Source organism: Homo sapiens, chromosome 3, assembly GCF_000001405.40.
Source record: "Homo sapiens chromosome 3, GRCh38.p14 Primary Assembly".
NCBI lineage: Eukaryota > Metazoa > Chordata > Mammalia > Primates > Hominidae > Homo > Homo sapiens.
Genome location: NC_000003.12, coordinates 32,790,432 through 32,809,029, shown reverse-complemented (window position 1 = coordinate 32,809,029; position 18,598 = coordinate 32,790,432). Strand labels below are relative to the sequence as shown.

Below are 18,598 nucleotides of genomic sequence, written 5' to 3'. Positions count from 1 at the left end.
CAAATTTTTTGTATTTTCAGTAGAGACTGGGTTTCACTGTGTTAGCCAGCTTGTCTCGAACTCCTGACCTCAGGTGATCCACCTGCCTCGGCCTCCCGAAGTGCTGGGATTACAGGTGTGAGCCACCGCGCCCAGCCAGAAAAAAATTTTAAGGCCGGGCACAGTGGCTCACGCCTGTAATCCCAGCATTTTGGGAGGCTGAGGCAGGTGGATCATGAGGTCAGGAGATTGAGACCATCCTGGCCAACATGGTCTCTACTAAAAATAAAAAAATTAGCCAATCATGGTGGCGTGCACCTGCAGTCCTAGCTACTCAGGAGGCTGAGGCAGGAGAATCGCTTGAACCCGGGAGGTGGAGGCTGCAGTGAGCCGAGATAGTGCCACTGCACTCCAGCCTGGGCAACGGAGTGAGACTCTGCCTCAAAAAAAAATTGAGGGGAGACTTTTTTTTTCTTTTTTCTTTTTTTATTTTGAGACGTAGTCTCGCTCTATTTCCCAGGCTGGTGCCATCTTGGCTCACTGCAGCCTCCACTTCCTGGGCTCAAGCGATTCTCCTGCCTCAGCCTCCTGAGTAGCTGGGATTGCAGGTGCTCACCACCATGCCCGGCTAATTTTTTGTATTTTTAGTAGAGACAGGGTTTCACCACGTTGGCCAGGCTGGTTTCAAACTCCTGACCTCAGGTGATCCACCCGCCTTGGCCTCTCAAAGTGCTGGGATTACAGGCGTGAGACACCACGCCTGACCTTTTTTTCTTTTTTTGAGACAGAGTCTTGCTCCGTCATCTGGGCTGGAGTGCAGTGACGTGATCTCAGCTCACTGCAACTTCTGCCTCCCAGGCTTAAGAGATTCTCATGCCTCAGCCTCCCAAGTAGCTGGGATTATAGGCATGCACCACCACGCCCGAGTAATTTTTGTATTTTTAATAGAGATGGATTTTGCCATGTTGGCCACGCTGGTCTTGAACTCCTGGCCTGATTCATCCACCTTGGCCTCCCAAAGTGCTGAGATACAGGCATGAGCCACCGCACCCGACTATTTTTAAATTAAAAGTGTTTTCAAGGGTTACTGAGGTGTAATTGATAAATAAAGTGTATATGAGTGCACAATGTCTTAAGCCTGTAATCTCAGCACTTTGGGAGGCCAAGGCAGGAGGATCTCTTGAGGCCAGGAGTTTGAGACCAGCCTGGGCAACATGGCACTACTCCGTCCCTACAAAAAAACGAAAATATTAAGTGTGGTGGCACATGCCTATAGTATATTACTAGCCACTCATGTGGCTGAGGCGGGAGGATCACTTGAGCCTGGGAGGTCGAGGCTGCAGTGAGCTGTGATTGTGCCACTGCACTCCAGCCTGGGCAACAGAACAAGACACTGTCTCAAAGAAAAAACAAAAACAAGCCAGGCACAGTGGCTCATGCCTGTAATGCCAGGCCTAGGCAGATCACCTGAGGTCAGGAGTTCGAGACCATCCTGGCCAACATGGTGAAACCCCATCTCTACTAAAAATACAAAAATTAACCAGGCATTGTGGTGCATGCCTATAGTCCCTGTTACTCTGGGGGCTAAGGTGGGAGAATTGCTTGAACCTGGGAGGTGGAGGTTGCAGTGAGCCAAGATAGCGCCACTGCACTCCAGCCTGGGTGATAAAGCGAGACTCCATCTCAAAAAAAAAGTCATATTGTGAATAATACAGACAATTTTTTTCTTCTTCTTAGAGATAGGGTCTCCCAGGGTGGGCATGTTGGTGGCTTGTGTTTGTAATCCCAGCACTTTGGGAGGCTGAGACAGGCAGATCACCTGGGGTCAGGAGTTGAAGACCAGCCTGGCCAATGTGGCAAAACCCCATCTCTACTAAAAATACAAAAATTAGCCAAGTATGGTGGCACAAGCCTATGGTCCCAGCTACTCAGGAGGCTGAGACAGGAGAATCACTTGAACCCGGGACATGGAGGTTGCAGTGAGCCAAGTGCCCACTGCACTCCAGCCTGGGCGACAGAGGGAGACTCTGTCAAAAAAAAAAAAAAAAAAAGAAAGAAAGAAAGAGATAAGGTGTCCCTCTGTTGCCCAACCTGGAGTACAGTGGCACAATCATAGCTCACTGCAGCCTCTACCTCCCTGGAGTAGCTGGGACTACAGGTGTACACCACCATGCCTGACTAACAACACAACATTTTGATATACCTATACGTTGTAAGATAATTACCACATCTGTTGGTCACGGTGGCTCATGTCTGTAATCCCAGCACTTTGGGAGGCTGAGGCGGGTGGATTGCTTCAGCCTGGGAGTTTAAGACCAGCCTTGGCAACATGGCAAAATCCTGTTTCTACAAAAAATACAAAAATTAGCCGAGCTTTGGGAGGCCAATGCGGGCGGATCACGAGGTCAGGAGATTGAGACCATCCTGGCTAACACGATGAAACCCCGTCTCTACTAAAAATACAAAAAATTAGCCAGACGTGGTGGTGGGCGCCTGTAGTCCCAGCTACTCAGGAGGCTGAGGCAGGAGAATGGCGTGAACCTGCACCATTGCACTCCAGCCTGAGCGACAGAGCAAGAATCCATCTCAAAAAAAAAAAAAAAAATTAGCTGGGCATGGTGGCATGCACCTGTAGTCCCAGCTACTTGGGAGGCTGAGGCAGGAGGATTGGTGGAGCCTGGGAGGTTGAGGCTGCAGTGAGCAGGGTTTGCACCACTGCATTTCAATCTGTGTGACAAAGTGAAACCCTGTCTCAAAAAAAGAAAAAAAAGATAATCACCACATCAAGCTAATGAACATATTAATCACTTCACATAGTTAACTTTTTGCTTTTTGTGTGTGTGAGAACATTTAAGATCTACTCTCAGGGCTGGGCATGGTGGCTCACACCTGTAATCCCAGCACTTTGGGAGGCTGAGACGGGTGGATCACGAGGTCAGGAGATCGAGACTATTCTGGCTAACATGGTGAAACCGCATCTCTACTAAAAATAGAAAAAATTAGCTGGGCGTGGTGGCGGGCGCCTGTAGTCCCAGCTACTTGGGAGGCTGAGGCAGAAGAATGGCGAGAACCCCGGAGGTGGAGCTTGCAGTGAGCCGAGATCACACCACTGCACTCCAGCCTGGGCGACAGAGTGAGACTCCGTCACAAAAAAAAAACAGATTTACTCTCGGCCGGGCGCAGTGGCTCATGCCTGTAATCCCAACAGTTTTGGAGGCCAAGGTGGGCAGATCACGAGGTCAAGAGATCGAAACTATCCTGGCCAAGATGGTGAAACCCCGTCTCTACTAAAAATACAAAAAATTAGCTGGGTGTGGTGGCGCATGCCTGTAGTCGCAGCTACTTAGGAGGCTGAGGCAGGAGGATCGCTTGAACCACGGGAGGTGGGGGTTGCAGTGAGCCAAGATTGTGCCACTGCACTCCAGCCTGGCGACAGAGCGAGACTCAGTCCATCCCCCACCCCCCCAAAAAAAAACTACTATCTTAGCAAATTTCAACTATACAATACAGTATTATTAACTATAATTGCCATATGTTAGATCTCCAGAACTTACTCATCTTGTATGAGTAAAACAGCTCTATAATAACTGACCAGTCTCCTCATTTCCTCCACCCACCAGTCCCTAGCCGCTATCATTCTACACTCTGCTTCTATGAGTTCAGCTTTTTAAGATTCCACATATAAGTGATATCTTTATCATGCAATATTTGTCTTTTTATTTTCACCTAACATAATGGCTTATTTCACTTATTATGGTTTATTGCACTTAGCATAATGTCCTCCAACTTCATCCGTGTTGTTCCAAATGACCACATTTCCTTCCTTTTTGAGGCTCTATGGTATTCCATTCTCTGGATACACCACATTTTTAATATTCATTTATCCTTCCACAAACACTTAGGTTGATTTCATATCTTGGCTATTGTGAATAATGCTGCAATGAACATGGAAGTGCAGATACCGCTTCAACATACTGATTTCATTTTCTATGGATATATACCCAGAAGTGGGATTACTGGATCATATGGTAGTTCTTTTGTTTTTTTGAGATGGGTCTCACTCTGTCACCCAGGCTGGTGTGGTGGCTGAAACATAGCTCACTGCATGCAGCCTTGAACTCCCAGGCTCAAGCAATCCTTCTACTTCAGCCTCCCGAGGAGCTAGGACTACAGGTGCGGCCACCAGGCCTTGCTAATTTTTTATTTTTTGTAGAGATAGGGTCTCACTATGATTCCCAGGCTGGTCTCAAACTCCTGGACTCAAGCAATCCTTCTGCCTTGGCCTCCCAAAATGCTGGGATTACAGCTATGAGCCACCATGCCCAGCTTGTGGTTCTATTTTTAATTTTTCAAGGAACCACCATAACTGTTTTCCATAACAGCTCTACCAACTCATAATCCCTCCAACAGTGTACAAGCGTTCCCATTTCTCCACATGTTGTTATCTTTTGTCTCTTTGATCATAGCCATTTTAACAAGTGTGAGTGATATCTTACTGTGCTTTTGATTTGCATTTCCCTGATGAGTGGTGATGTATTTTTCTTTTTTTTTTTTAAGATGGAGTCTTGCTCTCTCGCCAGGCTGGACTGCAGTGGCATAGTCTCGGCTAACTGCAAACTCCGCCTCTCGGGTTCAAGCAATTCTCCTGCCTCAGCCTCCAGAGTAGCTGGGACTACAGGCATGTGCCACCACGCCCAGCTAATTTTTGTATTTTTAGTAGAGACGGGGTTTCACCATGTTGGCCAGGATGGTCTCTATCTCTTGACTTCATGATCCACCTGCCTTGGCCTCCCAAAGTGCTGGGACTACAGGCGTGAGCCACCATGCCCGGCCAATGTTGAATATTTTTTCATACACCTATTGGCCATTTATATATCTTCTTTTGAGGTATATCTGTTTGGGTCCTTTGCCCGTTAAATTTTTTATTTTTATTTTTTTAGAGATGAGGTCTCGCTATGTTGCCTGGGCTAGCCTCAAACTCGTGGGCTCAAGCAATCCTCTCACCTCAGCTTCCTAAGTAGGAGGGACTACAGGTAGACACCACTGCACCTGGCTGTTTGCCTTTTTTTTTTTCTTTCTTGTTTTGAGATGGAGTTTCACTCTTGTTGCCCAGGCTAGAGTGCAATGGTGCAATCTTGGCTCACTGCAACCTCCACCTCCTGGGTTCAAATGATTCTCCTGCCTCAGCCTCCCGAGTAGTTGGGATTACAGGCATGTGCCACCACGTCCAGCTACTTTTGTATGTTTAGTAGAAACAGGGTTTCACCATGTTGGTCAGGCTGGTCTCAAACTCCTGACCTCAGGTGATCCATCCACCTCCGCCTCCGAAAATGCTGAGATTACAGGCGTGAGCCACCATGGCTGGCCTCTTTGCTCATTTTTTGATTGGGTTATTTGTTTTCTTGCTGTCGAACTACTTCAATTCCTTATATATCTTAGATATTAACTCTTATCAGATGTGTGGTTTGCACATATTTTCTCCCATGCTATAGGTTCTCTTCAACTCTGTTGTTGGTTTCCTTTGCTGTGCAGAAGCTTTTTAGTTTGATGCAATCCCATTTGTCTATTTTTGCTTTTGTTGCCTGTGGTTTTGGGGTTATACCCAAAAAAATCATTGTCCAGACCAATGTGAATAAGCTTTTTCCCTGTTTCTTCTTAGTAGTTTTGCAGTTTTTGGTTTTATATTTTAAGTCTTTAATCTACTTTTAGTTGATTTTTGTGTGTGCTGTAAAGGTCCAATCTCATTCTTCTGCCTGTAAACATTCACTTTTCCCAACACAATTTATTGAAGAGACTGTCCTTTTCCCATTGTGTGATCTTGGCACCTTTGTTGCAGATTAATTGAGCATAAATACATGGATCTATATCTGGGCTTTATATTGTGTTCCATTGATCTGTGTATCTGTTGTATGCCAATACCATGCTGTTTTAATTACTACAGTTTTGCAGTGTATTTTGAAAGCAGGTAGTGTGATGCTTCCAGGTTTGTTCTTGTTGCTCAAGATTGTGGCCAGGAGCAGTGGCTCACACCTGTAATCCCAGGTTTGGGAGGCTGAGGCAGGCAGATCACTTGAGGTCAGGAGTTTGAGAACAGCCTGGCCAACATGGTAAAACCCCATCTCTACTAAAAATACAAAAATTAGCTGGGCATGGTGGTGCACATCTGTAATCCCAGCTACTTGGGAGGCTGAGGCAGGGGAATCACTTGAACGCAGGAGGCAGAGGTGGCAGTGAGCCAAAATTGCACCACTGCACTCCAGCCTGGGCAACAGAGCAAGACTTCATCTCAAAAATGAAAAAGAAAAAAAAGAGATGAAAATGGAACCTAGTGCTCAAAATTAAATGAGATAGTACTTTTAAAACAAAGCCAGAGGCATCATACTACCCCGCTTCAAACAGTACTACAAGGTTACAGTAACCAAAACAGTGTCGTACTGGTACAAAAACAGACACGTAGACCATTGGAACAGAATAGAAAACCCAGAAATAAAGCTGCACATCTACAACTATCTGATCTTCGACAAAGTTGATAATAACAAGCAATAGGAAAGGACTCCCCATTCAATAAATAGTGCTGGGATAACTGCTTAGCCATATGCATGAGTGAAAATGGATCCCTTCCTTCTCAACTCAAGATGGATTAAAGACTTAAATGTAAAACCCAAAACTATAAACACCCTAGAAGAAAACCTAGGAAATACCATTGTGAACACAGGCCTTAGTAAAGATTTCATGCCAAAGACTCCAAAAGCAATTGCAACAAAAACAAAAGTTGACAAGTGGGACCTAATTAGACCAAAGAGCTTCTGCACACAGAACAAACTATCACACAGTAAACAGATAATCTACAGAATGGAAGAAAATATTTGCAAACTATGCATCTGACAAAGATCTAATATCCAGAACCTATAAGGAACCGAAACAAATCAACAAGCAAAACACAAACAACCCCATTAAAAAATTGACAAAGGACATGAACAGACAGTTCTCAAAAGAAGACATATATATGGCAAACAAGAATTAAAAAATGTTCAACATCACTAATCATTAGAGAAATGCAAATCAAAGCCACAGTGTGATACCATCTCACATCGATCAAAATGGCTACTATTAAAAAGTAAAAAAATAGGGCCAGGCACGGTGGCTCACGCCTGTAATCCCAGCACTTTGAGAGGCCGAGGTGGACGGATCATGAGGTCAGGAAATCGAGACCATCCTGGCTAACACGGTGAAACCCTGTCTCTACTAAAAATACAAGCTGAGTGCCCAGCTACTCAGAAGGCTGAGGCAGGAGAATGCCATGAACCCGGGAAATGGAGCTTGCAGTGAGCTGAGATCACGCCACTGCACTCCAGCCTGGGTGACAGAGGGAGACTCGGTCTCAAAAATAAATAAATAAATAAATAAATAAATAAATAAATAAATAAAATCACAGATGTTAGGCTGTAATGGTGGCTCATGCCTGTAGTCCCAGTACTTTGGGGGGCCGAGGAGGGCAGATCACTTGAGCCCAGGAGTATGGGACTAACATGGGCAACATGGCAAAGCCCCCTCTCTACAAAAAATACAAAAATTGCTGGGCATGGTGGGTCATGCCTGTAATCCCACCACTTTGGGAGGTTGAGGTGGGGGGATCACTTGAGGCCAGGAGTTCAAGACCAGCCTGGGAAACATGGTGAAACTCCATCTCTACAAAAAAACACAAAAAATTAGCTGGGCGTGGTGGCCCACATGTATAGTCTCAGCTAGTAGGGGGCTGAGGTGAGAGGATCACTTGAGCCCGAGAAGTTGAGGCTACAGTGAGACTTGATCATGCCACAGCACTTCAGCCTGGGCAACAAAGCAAGACTCTGTCTGAAAAACAAAAACCAAAAAAACCTGGTTGGGAGTGGTGGCTCATGCCTGTAATCCCAACACTTTGGGAGGCCAAGGTGGGTGGATCACTTTAGGTCAGGAGTTCAAGACCAGCCTGGCCAACATGGTGAAACCCCGTCTCTACTAAAAATACAAAAATTAGCTGAGTGTGGTGGTGCACGCCTGTAATCCCAGCTACTCGGGAGGCTGAGGCAGGAGAATCGCTTGAACCCGGGAGGCGGAGGTTGCAGTGAGCCAAGATCGCGCCATTGCACTCCAGCCTAGGGGACAAGAGCAAGACTTTGTCTCAAAAAACAAAACAAAACAAAACAAAACTAACTCAAAGTCCACTGCTTTTCCAGAATGCTGGGTCAGAAGTTGTTTTTCCTCCTTGCCACCTCCCAACTTTGCTGCACTTAAGCTAGTCCTCTCTTCTGAAATTAGCTGTTGGGGTAGACTGTTGTAATCGTGGCCCCCGATTTGTGCACGCCTCCCTGTATGCTTGCCTTTTGACTGTGACCTCTCACCATGACTCTGGGAAGGGCCACATGATGTGCTTTGGCCAATGGAACAATAGCAAACATGACACAAGCAGAAGAGAAGGAGGAGCTTGCCTTCTTGCTGCTATTCAACCTATGTGATCACCTGGGCTACTTTGCTGGAGGATGAAAGACATGTGGCTCAGTTACCTCCGTCTCCCCACAGACAGCTGGCCAACTAACAACTATGTGAGTGAGACCCTGCAGGAACAGCCATCCACCAGCCTGCTTGCCAACTGCCCAGAGAAGTTATTTGCCTGAGGTTACACAGTGAGGAAATGAGGCAATAAGTGAATTCATTCAATGAGTATTTATTGAGCACCTACCATATACCAGGCTTTGGGAAAGCAGCAGTGAACAAAACAGTCCCTGCCTTGAAGGTGGAGACAGACAATGCACATGTAAATGAATGTGGAGCAGATTAGCCTTTTGTGATCAACGCTGTAAAGCAAAGCACAGCAAAGCCATGCTGGGTGTGGGGACAGTGATAGAGTTGAGTGTGCTATTTTTGGATGGAGAGGTTAAGGAAGGCCTGTCTGAAGAGATGACATCTGAGTAGAAACCAGAATAAGGTGAAAGATATCTATGTAGATATCTAGGGGAGAAGAGTAACAGAAAGAGGGAACCACAAATTAAAACACCCTGAGGTGTGAATATGATAGATTCCTTTGAGAAACAGCAATGTTGCCAGTGAAAGAATGGAATGAACAGAGGGGTAAACTGGCAGGAAGTAAGGTCAGATATAAAGTCAGGGGTTTGATTATACAGGGCCTTATAAGTCCAAGTTAGAACTTTGGATTTTCTTCTGGGTGATAAGAAGCCAATAGAAGATTAAGATCAAGGCAGTCTATGATATCATTTAAGTGTTTTTGTTTGTTGTGGGTGTTTTTCTCTTTTTGAGACGGAGTCTTGCTCTTATCGCCCAGGCTGGAGTGCAATGGCGTGATCTTGGCTTACCGCAACCTCCGCCTCTTGAGTTCAAGCGATTCTCCTGCCTCAGCCTCCCGAGTAGCTGGGATTACAGGTGCCCGCCACCACGCCCGGCTAATTTTTATATTTTTAGTAGAGACAGGGTTTCACCATGTTGGCCAGGCTGGTCTTAAACTCCTGACCTCAGGTGATCTGCCTGCCTCGGCCTCCCAAAGTGCTGGGATTACAGGCATAAGCCACCACACCTGGCCTGTTTGTGGGTTTTTATTGTTGTTTTTTTGAGACAGGGTCTCACTTTGTCTTCCAGGCTGGAGTGCAGTGGCACAATTCACTGCAGCCTCCACCTCCCAGGTTCAAGCAATCCTCCTGCTTCAGCCCCGCCAAGTAGCTGAGACTACAGGCATGAGTCACCATGCCCAGCTAATTTTTGTATTTTTAGTAGAGACAGGGTTTCACCATGTTGCACAGGCTGGTCTTGAACTCCTGATCTCAAGTGATCCATCTGCCTCGGTTTCCCAAAGTGGTAGGATTACAGGCATGAGCTACCATGTCCAGCCATGATTTATGTTTTATAAGGATCACTCTGGCTACTGTGTAGAGAATAGATGGTGAGGGTGCCTAGGAGGGATGGAGTGGAATCACTGAGGCAGATGGATGGTAATTATAGCTTGGACCAGGGTGTTAGCAGTAGAGGTTGTGAGGGGTGCTCAAATTCAAGATAACGTATTTTGTGGACTCAAAGACTCCACTAATTTTAAGATACGCTGTGGCAGTTCTAAAACATAGCCCCAAATTCTTTGACACTCTTCTTATGGAGAGGTCAGGGGTCTGTGTGCCTTCCCCTAAAATTTGGGTGGGCTTATGACTGCTTCAAGCAGCAGAGTACAGTGGAAGTGACGCGATGTGACTTCGGAGGCAAACTTTCGTCTTGCTCACTGGGCGCTATGATCTGAATGTTTGTGTGTCTCCACAAAATTCATATGTTGAAATCCTAACCCCCAAGGTGATGGTATTAGGAGGTAGGAGGTGGGGCCTTTGGGAGGTGATGGGTCATCAGAATGGAGCCCTCATGATGAATGAGTGCCTTTATAAGAGACCCCAGGGAGATCCCTCACCCCTTCTACCCTGTGAGGTTACAATGAAAACATGCCTTCTTTTTTTTTTTTTTTTTTTTTGAGTTGGAGTCTCACTCTGTCGCCCAGGCTGGAGTGCAATGCAATGCGCGCGATCTTGGCTCACTGCAACCTCTGCCTCCCGGGTTCAAGCAATTCTCCTGCCTCAGCCTCCTGAGTAGCTGGGATTACAGGCGCGTGCCGCCACACCCAGCTAATTTTTGGATTTTTTAATAGAGACGGGGTTTCATCATGTTGGTCAGGCTGGTCTCAAACTCCTGACCTCGTGATCCACCCACCTCAGCCTCCCAAAGTGCTGGGATTACATGCGTGGGCCCCCACGCCCAGCGAGAAGATGCCCTCTATGAAGAAACAGGCCCTTACCAGAAACCAAATCTACTGGTACCTTATCTTCAATTTCCTAGCCTTCAGAAAGGTAAACTGTTGTTTACAGGCTACTTAGTCTATGGTACTTTATTATAGCAGTCCAATCAGAATAAGAAGCTGGGACACTGGCCCTCAGAACCATGAGCTGCCATAATAGAGAGGCCATGTGGAGAGTCCACATGGAGAAGTTCCGAGAATATATAACAATATATGATAGACAGATAGCCAGCCAGCCAGTGAGCCCCCAGCTATTCTTGTCATCCCAACCAAGGAGCCAGACATGTCAGTGACTCCTCTCCAGATGACTCTAGCCTCCAGCCCTTAGTCATCCCAGCTATCAGCTAAGACTCCAGGCATTGTGAAGCTGAGACAAATATTTCTTGCTGTGCCTTCTCTCAATTCCAGACCCCCAAAATCGGTGAGCAAGGTAAAATGGTGATTGTTTTATGCAGCTCAGTTCTCAAGTGGTTTGTTAAGCAGCAATAAATAATTGAAGCATATACCATTATTACCACCACACAAGGAAAAACTCCACTAGTTTAATGCTCTGAAAACTTCATCCCAGCTTCAGAAATGTCAAGTGAAAAATGTGCCTCTTCGCTGGGCGCAGTGGCTCACGCCTGTAATCCCAGCACTTTGGGAGGCCGAGGCGGGCGGATCACAAGGTCAGGAGATTGAGACCATCCTGGCTAACATGGTGAAACCCCCGTCTCTACTAAAAATACACAAAATTTGCTGGGCGTGGTGGTGGGTGCCTGTAATCCCGGCTACTTGGGAGGCTGAGGCAGGAGAATGGTGTGAACCCGGGAGGCGGAGCTTGCAGTGAGCTGAGATCGCGCCACTGCACTCCAGCCTGGGCGACAGAGTGAGACTCCATCTCAAAAAAAAAAAAAAAGAAAAAGAAAAATGTGCCTTTTCAGACTGATGAAATACACAATGGTTTTAAAGTAGAGCCCTTGCGGGGCTCTGTGGCTCATGCTTGTAATCCCAGCACTTTGGGAGGCCGAGGCGGGTCGATCATGAGGTCAGGAGATTGAGACAATCCTGGCCAACATGGTGAAACCATGTCTCTACTAAAAATACAAAAATTGGCTGGGCGCCGTGGTTTACGCCTGTAATCCCAGCACTTTGGGAGGCCCGAGGCAGGCAGATCAGGAAGGCTGAGTAGCTTGAACCTGGGAGGCGGAGGTTGTAGTGAGTTGAGATCGCGCTGCTGCACTCCAGCCTGGGCAACAAGAGCAAAACTCGGTCTCAAAAAAATAGAAAAATAAAAAATAACAATACAAAAATTAGCTGGGCATGGTGGTGCATCCCTGTAATTTCAGCTACTGGGGAGGCTGAGGCAGGAGATTCGCTTGTGTCAGGCCTCTGAGCCCAAGCCTGCATGTATTTGTCCAGATGGCCTGAAGCAAGTGAAGAATCACAAAAGAAGTGAAAATGGCCGGTTCTTTCCTTAACTGATGACATTCCACCATTGTGATTTATTCCTGCCCCACCTTAACTGAGGGATTAACCTTGTGAAATTCCTTCTCCTGGCTCAGAACCTCCCCCACTGAGCACCGTGTGACCCCTGCCCCTGCCCGTAAGAGAAAAACCCCCTTTGACTGTAATTTTCCACTACCCACCCAAATCCTATAAAATGGCCCCACCCCTATCTTCCTTGGCTGAGTCTTTCCGGACTCAGCTCGCCTGCACCCAGGTGAAATAAGTAGCCTTGTTGCTCACACAAAGCCTGTTTGGTGGTCTCTTCATATGGACGCGTGTGACATTTGGTGCCGAAGACCTGGGACAGGAGGACTCCTTCGGGAGACCAGTCCCCTGTCCTCACCCTCACTCCGTGAGGAGATCTACCTCGGGTCCTCAGACCAAACCAGCCCAAGGAACATCTCACCAATTTCAAATCGGGTAAGCGGTCTTTTCACTCTCTTCTCCAGCCTCTGTTGCTACCCTTCAGTCTCCCTGTCCTTCCAATTCCAGTTCTTTTTCCTCTGTAGTAGAGACAAGGGAGACACATTTTATCTGTGGACCCAAAACTCCGGCGCCGGTCACGGACTCGGGAAGACAGTTTTCCCTTGGTGTTTAATCACTGCGGGGACCCCTGCCTGATTATTCACCCACACTGTATTGGTGTCTGATTACCACGGGGACGCCTGCCTTGGTCATTCACCCACATTCTCTTGGTGGCAAGTCAATGGTGGGGATGCCTGTGTTGGCTGCTCACCCACATTGCAGCCCAGGGCTGCTCACTAACCCCCCTTCTCTGTGTCTCTACCCTCTCTTTTCTGTGGACTTGCCTCCTTCACTATGGGCAACCTTCCACCCTCCATTCCTCCTTCTTCTCCCTTAGCCTGTGTTCTCAAAAACTTAAAACCTCTTCAACTCTCACCTGACCTAAAACCTAAGCGTCTTATTTTCTTCTGCAACACTGCTTGGCCCCAGTACAAACTCGATAATGGTTCTAAATAGCAAGAAAATGGCACTTTTGATTTCTCCATTTTACAAGCCACTGCACTCCAGCCTGGCAACAGAGCGAGGCGCCATCTCAAAACAACAACAAAAACCAAAAACCAAAAAACAAAATAAAGTGGAGCCCTTAGGATTTGTTGATGGGTTGGATGAAAGACAGAAGTCAAAAGGTGAGAGTGGGGTTGACTCCAGAGTTTTTACCTGAGCACCTGGATGTATGATGGTACCATTTCCTGAGCCAAAGAACACTGGGGGATTGAATAAGTCAGTGCTGATACATGGACAGAAAAGACTGCCCAATTTATGTGCGGGACTGAAAACAGCTCCCATATGGACTGCTTCTGGGTCTGGGTGCCCTCAGATCCATTCCCAGCCCTTCCCCTGCTCTGTCCTAGATCACAGCGAGGCTGATCCTCAGTTATACTCCCTCAGTTCCTATGTCAGTTGGCTTTGGCTGGGTTTAGCCAATAGGAGGTTGGCAGTTGACAAGAGGATGAGAAGGGAAAAGCCAGGGTATTCTCTCCTCCCTCTGCCTTGGTAGCAACTCCCGCCTTCATTAGTGGCTGCATCTCTTCCATGGCTCCAGTTCCAGGCCTGTTGTGGCTTCGGCTTCCAGCAGGTGACCTCAACCCTTGGGTTCAGGTAACATCACTTCCTCCCTTGACCCTCCAGCCTAGGAGTGGCAGCGGCTTCCTGCTCTAGCTGACCTCTTAATTCCCTCACCTGTCCAACAAAATCCCCCCACTAAATTTCTCTGTTACAAATATGTATAGTCATTTCTGTTTTCCTGGGTTGACCCTGACCATGGGACTATAGGCTGAGGCCTCATGTGAAAGCCTGCAGGCTCAGGTGAGAAGCAAACACCTTGCACAACCCCACCTTGTGCAGACTCCCAGGCTCCAGAGTGTTTACCGTCCCCTTAGCCTTGGGATTTGCTCATTCCTGACCTGTGTGCTCATTCCCTCTGTTTGTCTATAATACGTGGTTTTCACGAATCCTTGGCAGTCTCCTTCTTCAAATCCTAGCTCAGAAACTCTAGCCTCCTCTAAGCCTTTCAGCCATGACTCGCCTGTCCAGCCTCCTGCCTGATGCTTTTCAGCACCCACTTTGCTTAATGTGCCTTTGTGACTTGGCTGTTGCATACTGTCTCCTATCTCTGTGCTTTGCAGACTGTCTCCTCTACCAAGGCTCACAACTCCCTTCTCTGACTCCTACTCAGCCTTCAAAACCTGCTTTCAGTGTCACATCTTCTGAGAAGTAAGTTGTTTCCGGCAGGTTCCCTCCCCAGACTGAGGTGCACACTCCCACATTCATGCTACCGTCACAATTCTTGTGGACACTGCAATAATTTTGTGTGTGTTAGTCTCTTGCATAAAACTGCCAGCTCCTTGGAGGCAGGAGCTAAGTCACAAACTCTGGCCTGGGCACCAAAGGTCTTTAGTAACTCTTTGTTGAATGATGGCTCCTGGATACATGGATGACCACAGGTTTTCAATTACTGCAAGTGCCTTAGGTCTTCCGAGTTTGGTTACAAACCTCTTTGGGGTGATTCTTAATTCTTGTGTAGCCTGTTAGCACCTGTCTTGATACATTATGGGGCAAGAGGAAATAAAAAAAGTCACAGATTGTTTCTTTCCTTATCTACCTCCTTTTTGTTTCTTTTTTTCTTTTAAGGTTTCTTTTCATTTATTTATTTGTTTATTATTTATTTATTCATTTATTTTTTTGAGATGGAATCTCACTCTGTCACCCAGGCTGGAGTGCAGTGGCACGATCTCAGCTCACTGCAACCTCCGCCTCCCTGGTTCAAGCGATTCTTCTGCCTCAGCCTCCCGAGTAGCTGGGACTACAGGCACCTGCCACAATGCCCAGCTAATTTTGTGTATTTTTAATAGAGATGGGGTTTCACCGTCTTAGCCAGGATAGTCTCGATCTCCTGACCTTGTGATCTGCCCACCTCGCCCTCCCAATGTGTTGGGATTACAGGCGGCGAGCCACTCCCCCAGCCTGTTTGTTTATTTATTTAATAGAGATGAGGTCTCACTATATTGACCAGGCTGGTCTTGAACTCCTGGCCTCAAATGATCCTCCTGCCTCAGCCTCCGGAAGTGCTGGGATTACAGGCATGAGCCACCATGACTGGCTCTTTTTTAAAGCTTTTATCTCTTCTTAAATTTATTTAGTTTTACTTATTTTTATATTAGCTTACCTTGTATTTTGAAATAATTTCAAATTTAGAGAAAAATTGTAATAGTACAAAGAACTCCAATATATCCTTAACCTAGAGTCCCCAAATATTAACACTTTGCCCAATTTGCATTATCACTTCTTCTCTCCCATATATTTACATATATATTACTATATCTATATATTATATACATGTATTACATGTACACGGTATGTATATGTTGGGATATGTACATATGTGTCTATTATAAGTGGAGTATATATATCTATACACACGTATACTATTTTTCTTGAACCATCTGGGAGTAAAGTTGTGGATATGATGCCCTTCTATTTCTCGAACTCATGACCTCACGTGATCCGCCCACCTCAGCCTCCCAAAGTGCTGGGATTACAGGCGTGAACCAGAACTCCTGGTGATGCCCCTCTATGTCTAATCACTTCCTTGTGCATTTCCTAAGACCATGGTCATTATCTTACACAACAAAAGTACAGTTCTCAAAGTCAGGAAATTAAATGTTGATATAGTACCATTATCTAATCCATAGACTGGATTCATGTTTCACCAGTTGTCCCAAATCTGTCCTTTCTGGGCAAATTTGTTTCTCCCTTCCCAGGATCCAATCCATGATCACATGCTACATTCAGTTGTCAAGTCTCCTCAGTTTCCTTTTTGTTTGTTTTTTGTTTTGAGACGAAGTCTCACTCTGTCACACAGGCTGGGGTGCAGTGGTGCAATCTTGGCTCACTGCAACCTCTGCCTCCCAGGTTCAAGCAATTCTTGGCCTCAGCCTCCTGAGTAGCTGGGATTACAGGTGCCGGCCACCAGGGCTGGCTAATTTTTTTGTATTTTTAGTAGAGATGGGGTTTCACCATGTTGGCTAGGCTGGTCTTGAACTCCTGACCTCATGATTCACCTGCCTTGGCCTCCCAAAGTGCTGGGATTACAGGCGTGAGCCACTGTGCCCAGCCCAGTTTCCTTTCACCTGTGGCAGTTCTCTGGCCTTCCTTTGTCTTTAAGGACCCTGGCTTTTTTTTTTTTTTAGATGGAGTCTTGCTCTGTCACCCAGGCTGGAGTGCAATGGCACGATCTGGGCTCACTGCAACCTCTACCTCCTGGGTTCTAAGTGTTTCTCCTGCCTCAGCCTTCCGAGTAGCTGGGATTACAGGTGTGTGCCATCACGCCCAGCTAATTTCTGTATTTTTAGTAGAGACGGGGGTTGCCATGTTGGCCAGGCTGGTTTCGAACTTCTGACCTCAGAAGATCAACCCGCCTCGGCCTCCCAAAGTGCTGGGATTACAGGCGTGAGCCACCGCACCCTGCCATAAAGTGTTTAAGCGCCCGGCCAGGACCCTGATATTTTTGAAGCATCTAGGCCAGTTTTGTTTCCTCCCAGGTCTAAAAATGCCCCCCTAAGATTTTAGCTCTCACCACGTTTTTACAAACTCTCTTCTCCTCCAGACTTAGGGGAGGGACTCTTTGCAGGGCCTTGTAAAACCTTAAATAAACTACACGAACAAATTCCACTTTGACCACTATCTTGTTAAAATTCCTTGAAAAAGTTAACTCATTGGGCCCAAAGTACCTTAACAAAAGCCAGGCTGTACTTCTCCTAGTATTCAGTCTTCCTCAAAGGATTTTATGTGCTGTTTAATGATTTTTCACAAATAGTTTTTCTTGCCCTTAAAGTTGGATTAATTGAATTTTAATTCAGCAGGATCACTCTCTAAAGAAAGAAACACTGACCAAGCAGGTCGAGTTAGGGCCGCTAGACCTCATTAAGACCTTTTTCAAGCAGAAGGGATTCTGAGGGGTGAAAAATGCAGCTGTACGGCACCCTAAACTCACCTCTATTTTAGATCAAAAATTTAAAAGCCACTCTTCCTTCCCAGCAAAGGAAAACCTAGTTGGCCTAAGAAAGGAAATCTACCACTTTGGCTTTGTCTGGCTTGAGCTCCTCACTCTCTCCAGTTTGATTCTTGTGCCTTTGACTCAGTGGGCCTAAGAACAGTTCGCTGTGCCCCAAGTCCCCCGTTAGCTTCATTTTCTTCCATTTGTTCCTGACCCTTTCAGAACTTCACTCCCACTTAAAACAAAACACAGAAAAAACTCAGCTATTAAAAGTTTTCATGAACAGCCAAACCTGGTTAGAATTTTCAAAAGAAAAAAAAAGTCTAGGCCTAATCTCTTGAATTTTGGCCTCAATTTCACCATGTTTACCTGTTTCTGCTGAATCCTTTTTTTTTCCAAAGGGAGTTTTGCTCTTGTTGCCCAGGCTGGAGTGCAATGGTGTGATCTCGGCTCACTGCAACCTCTGCCTTCCAGGTTCAAGCAATTCTCCTGCCTCAGTCTCCTGAGTAGCTGGGATTACAGGATGCACCACCACACCCGGCTAATTTTGTATTTTTATTTTTAGTAGAGACGGGGCTTCTCCATGTTGGTCAGGCTGGTCTTGAACTCCCGACCTCAGGTGATCTGCCCGCCTTGGCCTCCCAAAGTGCTTTTTGTTTTTTCGAGATGGAGTTTCACTTTTGTCGCCCAGGCTGGAGTGCAATGGCGGGATGTCAGCTCACTGCAACCTCCGCCTCCTGGATTCAAGTGATTGTCTTGCCTCAGCCTCCCGAGTAGCTGGGATTACAGTTGCCCGCCACCATGCCCAGCTAATTTTTGTATTTTTAGTAGAGATGGGGTTTCTCCATGTTGGCCAGGCTGGTCTCAAACTTCTGACCTCAAGTGATCCACCCGCCTCAGCCTCCCAAAGTGCTGGGATTACAGGCGTGAGCCACCTCGCCCAGCCTTGAATCCTTTTGTTCTATGAATTTTACTGCAGGAATCAGTGAAGCAGGGACCACAGCTTGTCATCTCCTCCAAGAATCCTGTTCTCTATTTTAATGATTAGTCTAGCCTGGATTGTAGTAAAAAATGATAGATGATAGACAGATAGATAGACAGACAGATAAAATCCATACTCAGAGTTCTATAGAGCATCAGACTCTAAGTTGAAGGGGCAATTGTCATAGCAATACTGGGCTCCACAACAGCTGCCCCAATTTTGGGGCCTGTGAGGGGCTTACAGGCCAAATGAGGGGCTGCATGTGACTTCAGGTTTTTGATCACAAAATCCTGTGATTTTCAAAGTTTTT

General features: G+C 46.4%; 2 annotated features.

Annotated features, from left to right (window-relative positions):
* Nucleotides 8,199-8,493: an enhancer, noted in NCBI's record as "tiled region #2511; HepG2 Activating DNase matched - State 5:Enh, and K562 Activating DNase unmatched - State 20:ReprD". NCBI's record gives its function as "activates a minimal TATA promoter and a strong SV40 promoter by Sharpr-MPRA in HepG2 and K562 cells {active_cell/tissue: HepG2 | K562}" and the evidence as "EXISTENCE:reporter gene assay evidence [ECO:0000049][PMID:27701403]".
* Nucleotides 8,522-9,281: an enhancer, noted in NCBI's record as "NANOG-H3K27ac-H3K4me1 hESC enhancer chr3:32841241-32842000 (GRCh37/hg19 assembly coordinates)". NCBI's record gives its function as "activates a minimal SCP1, AML or CMV promoter by ChIP-STARR-seq in naive H9 embryonic stem cells {active_cell/tissue: H9 hESC(naive)}" and the evidence as "EXISTENCE:reporter gene assay evidence [ECO:0000049][PMID:30033119]".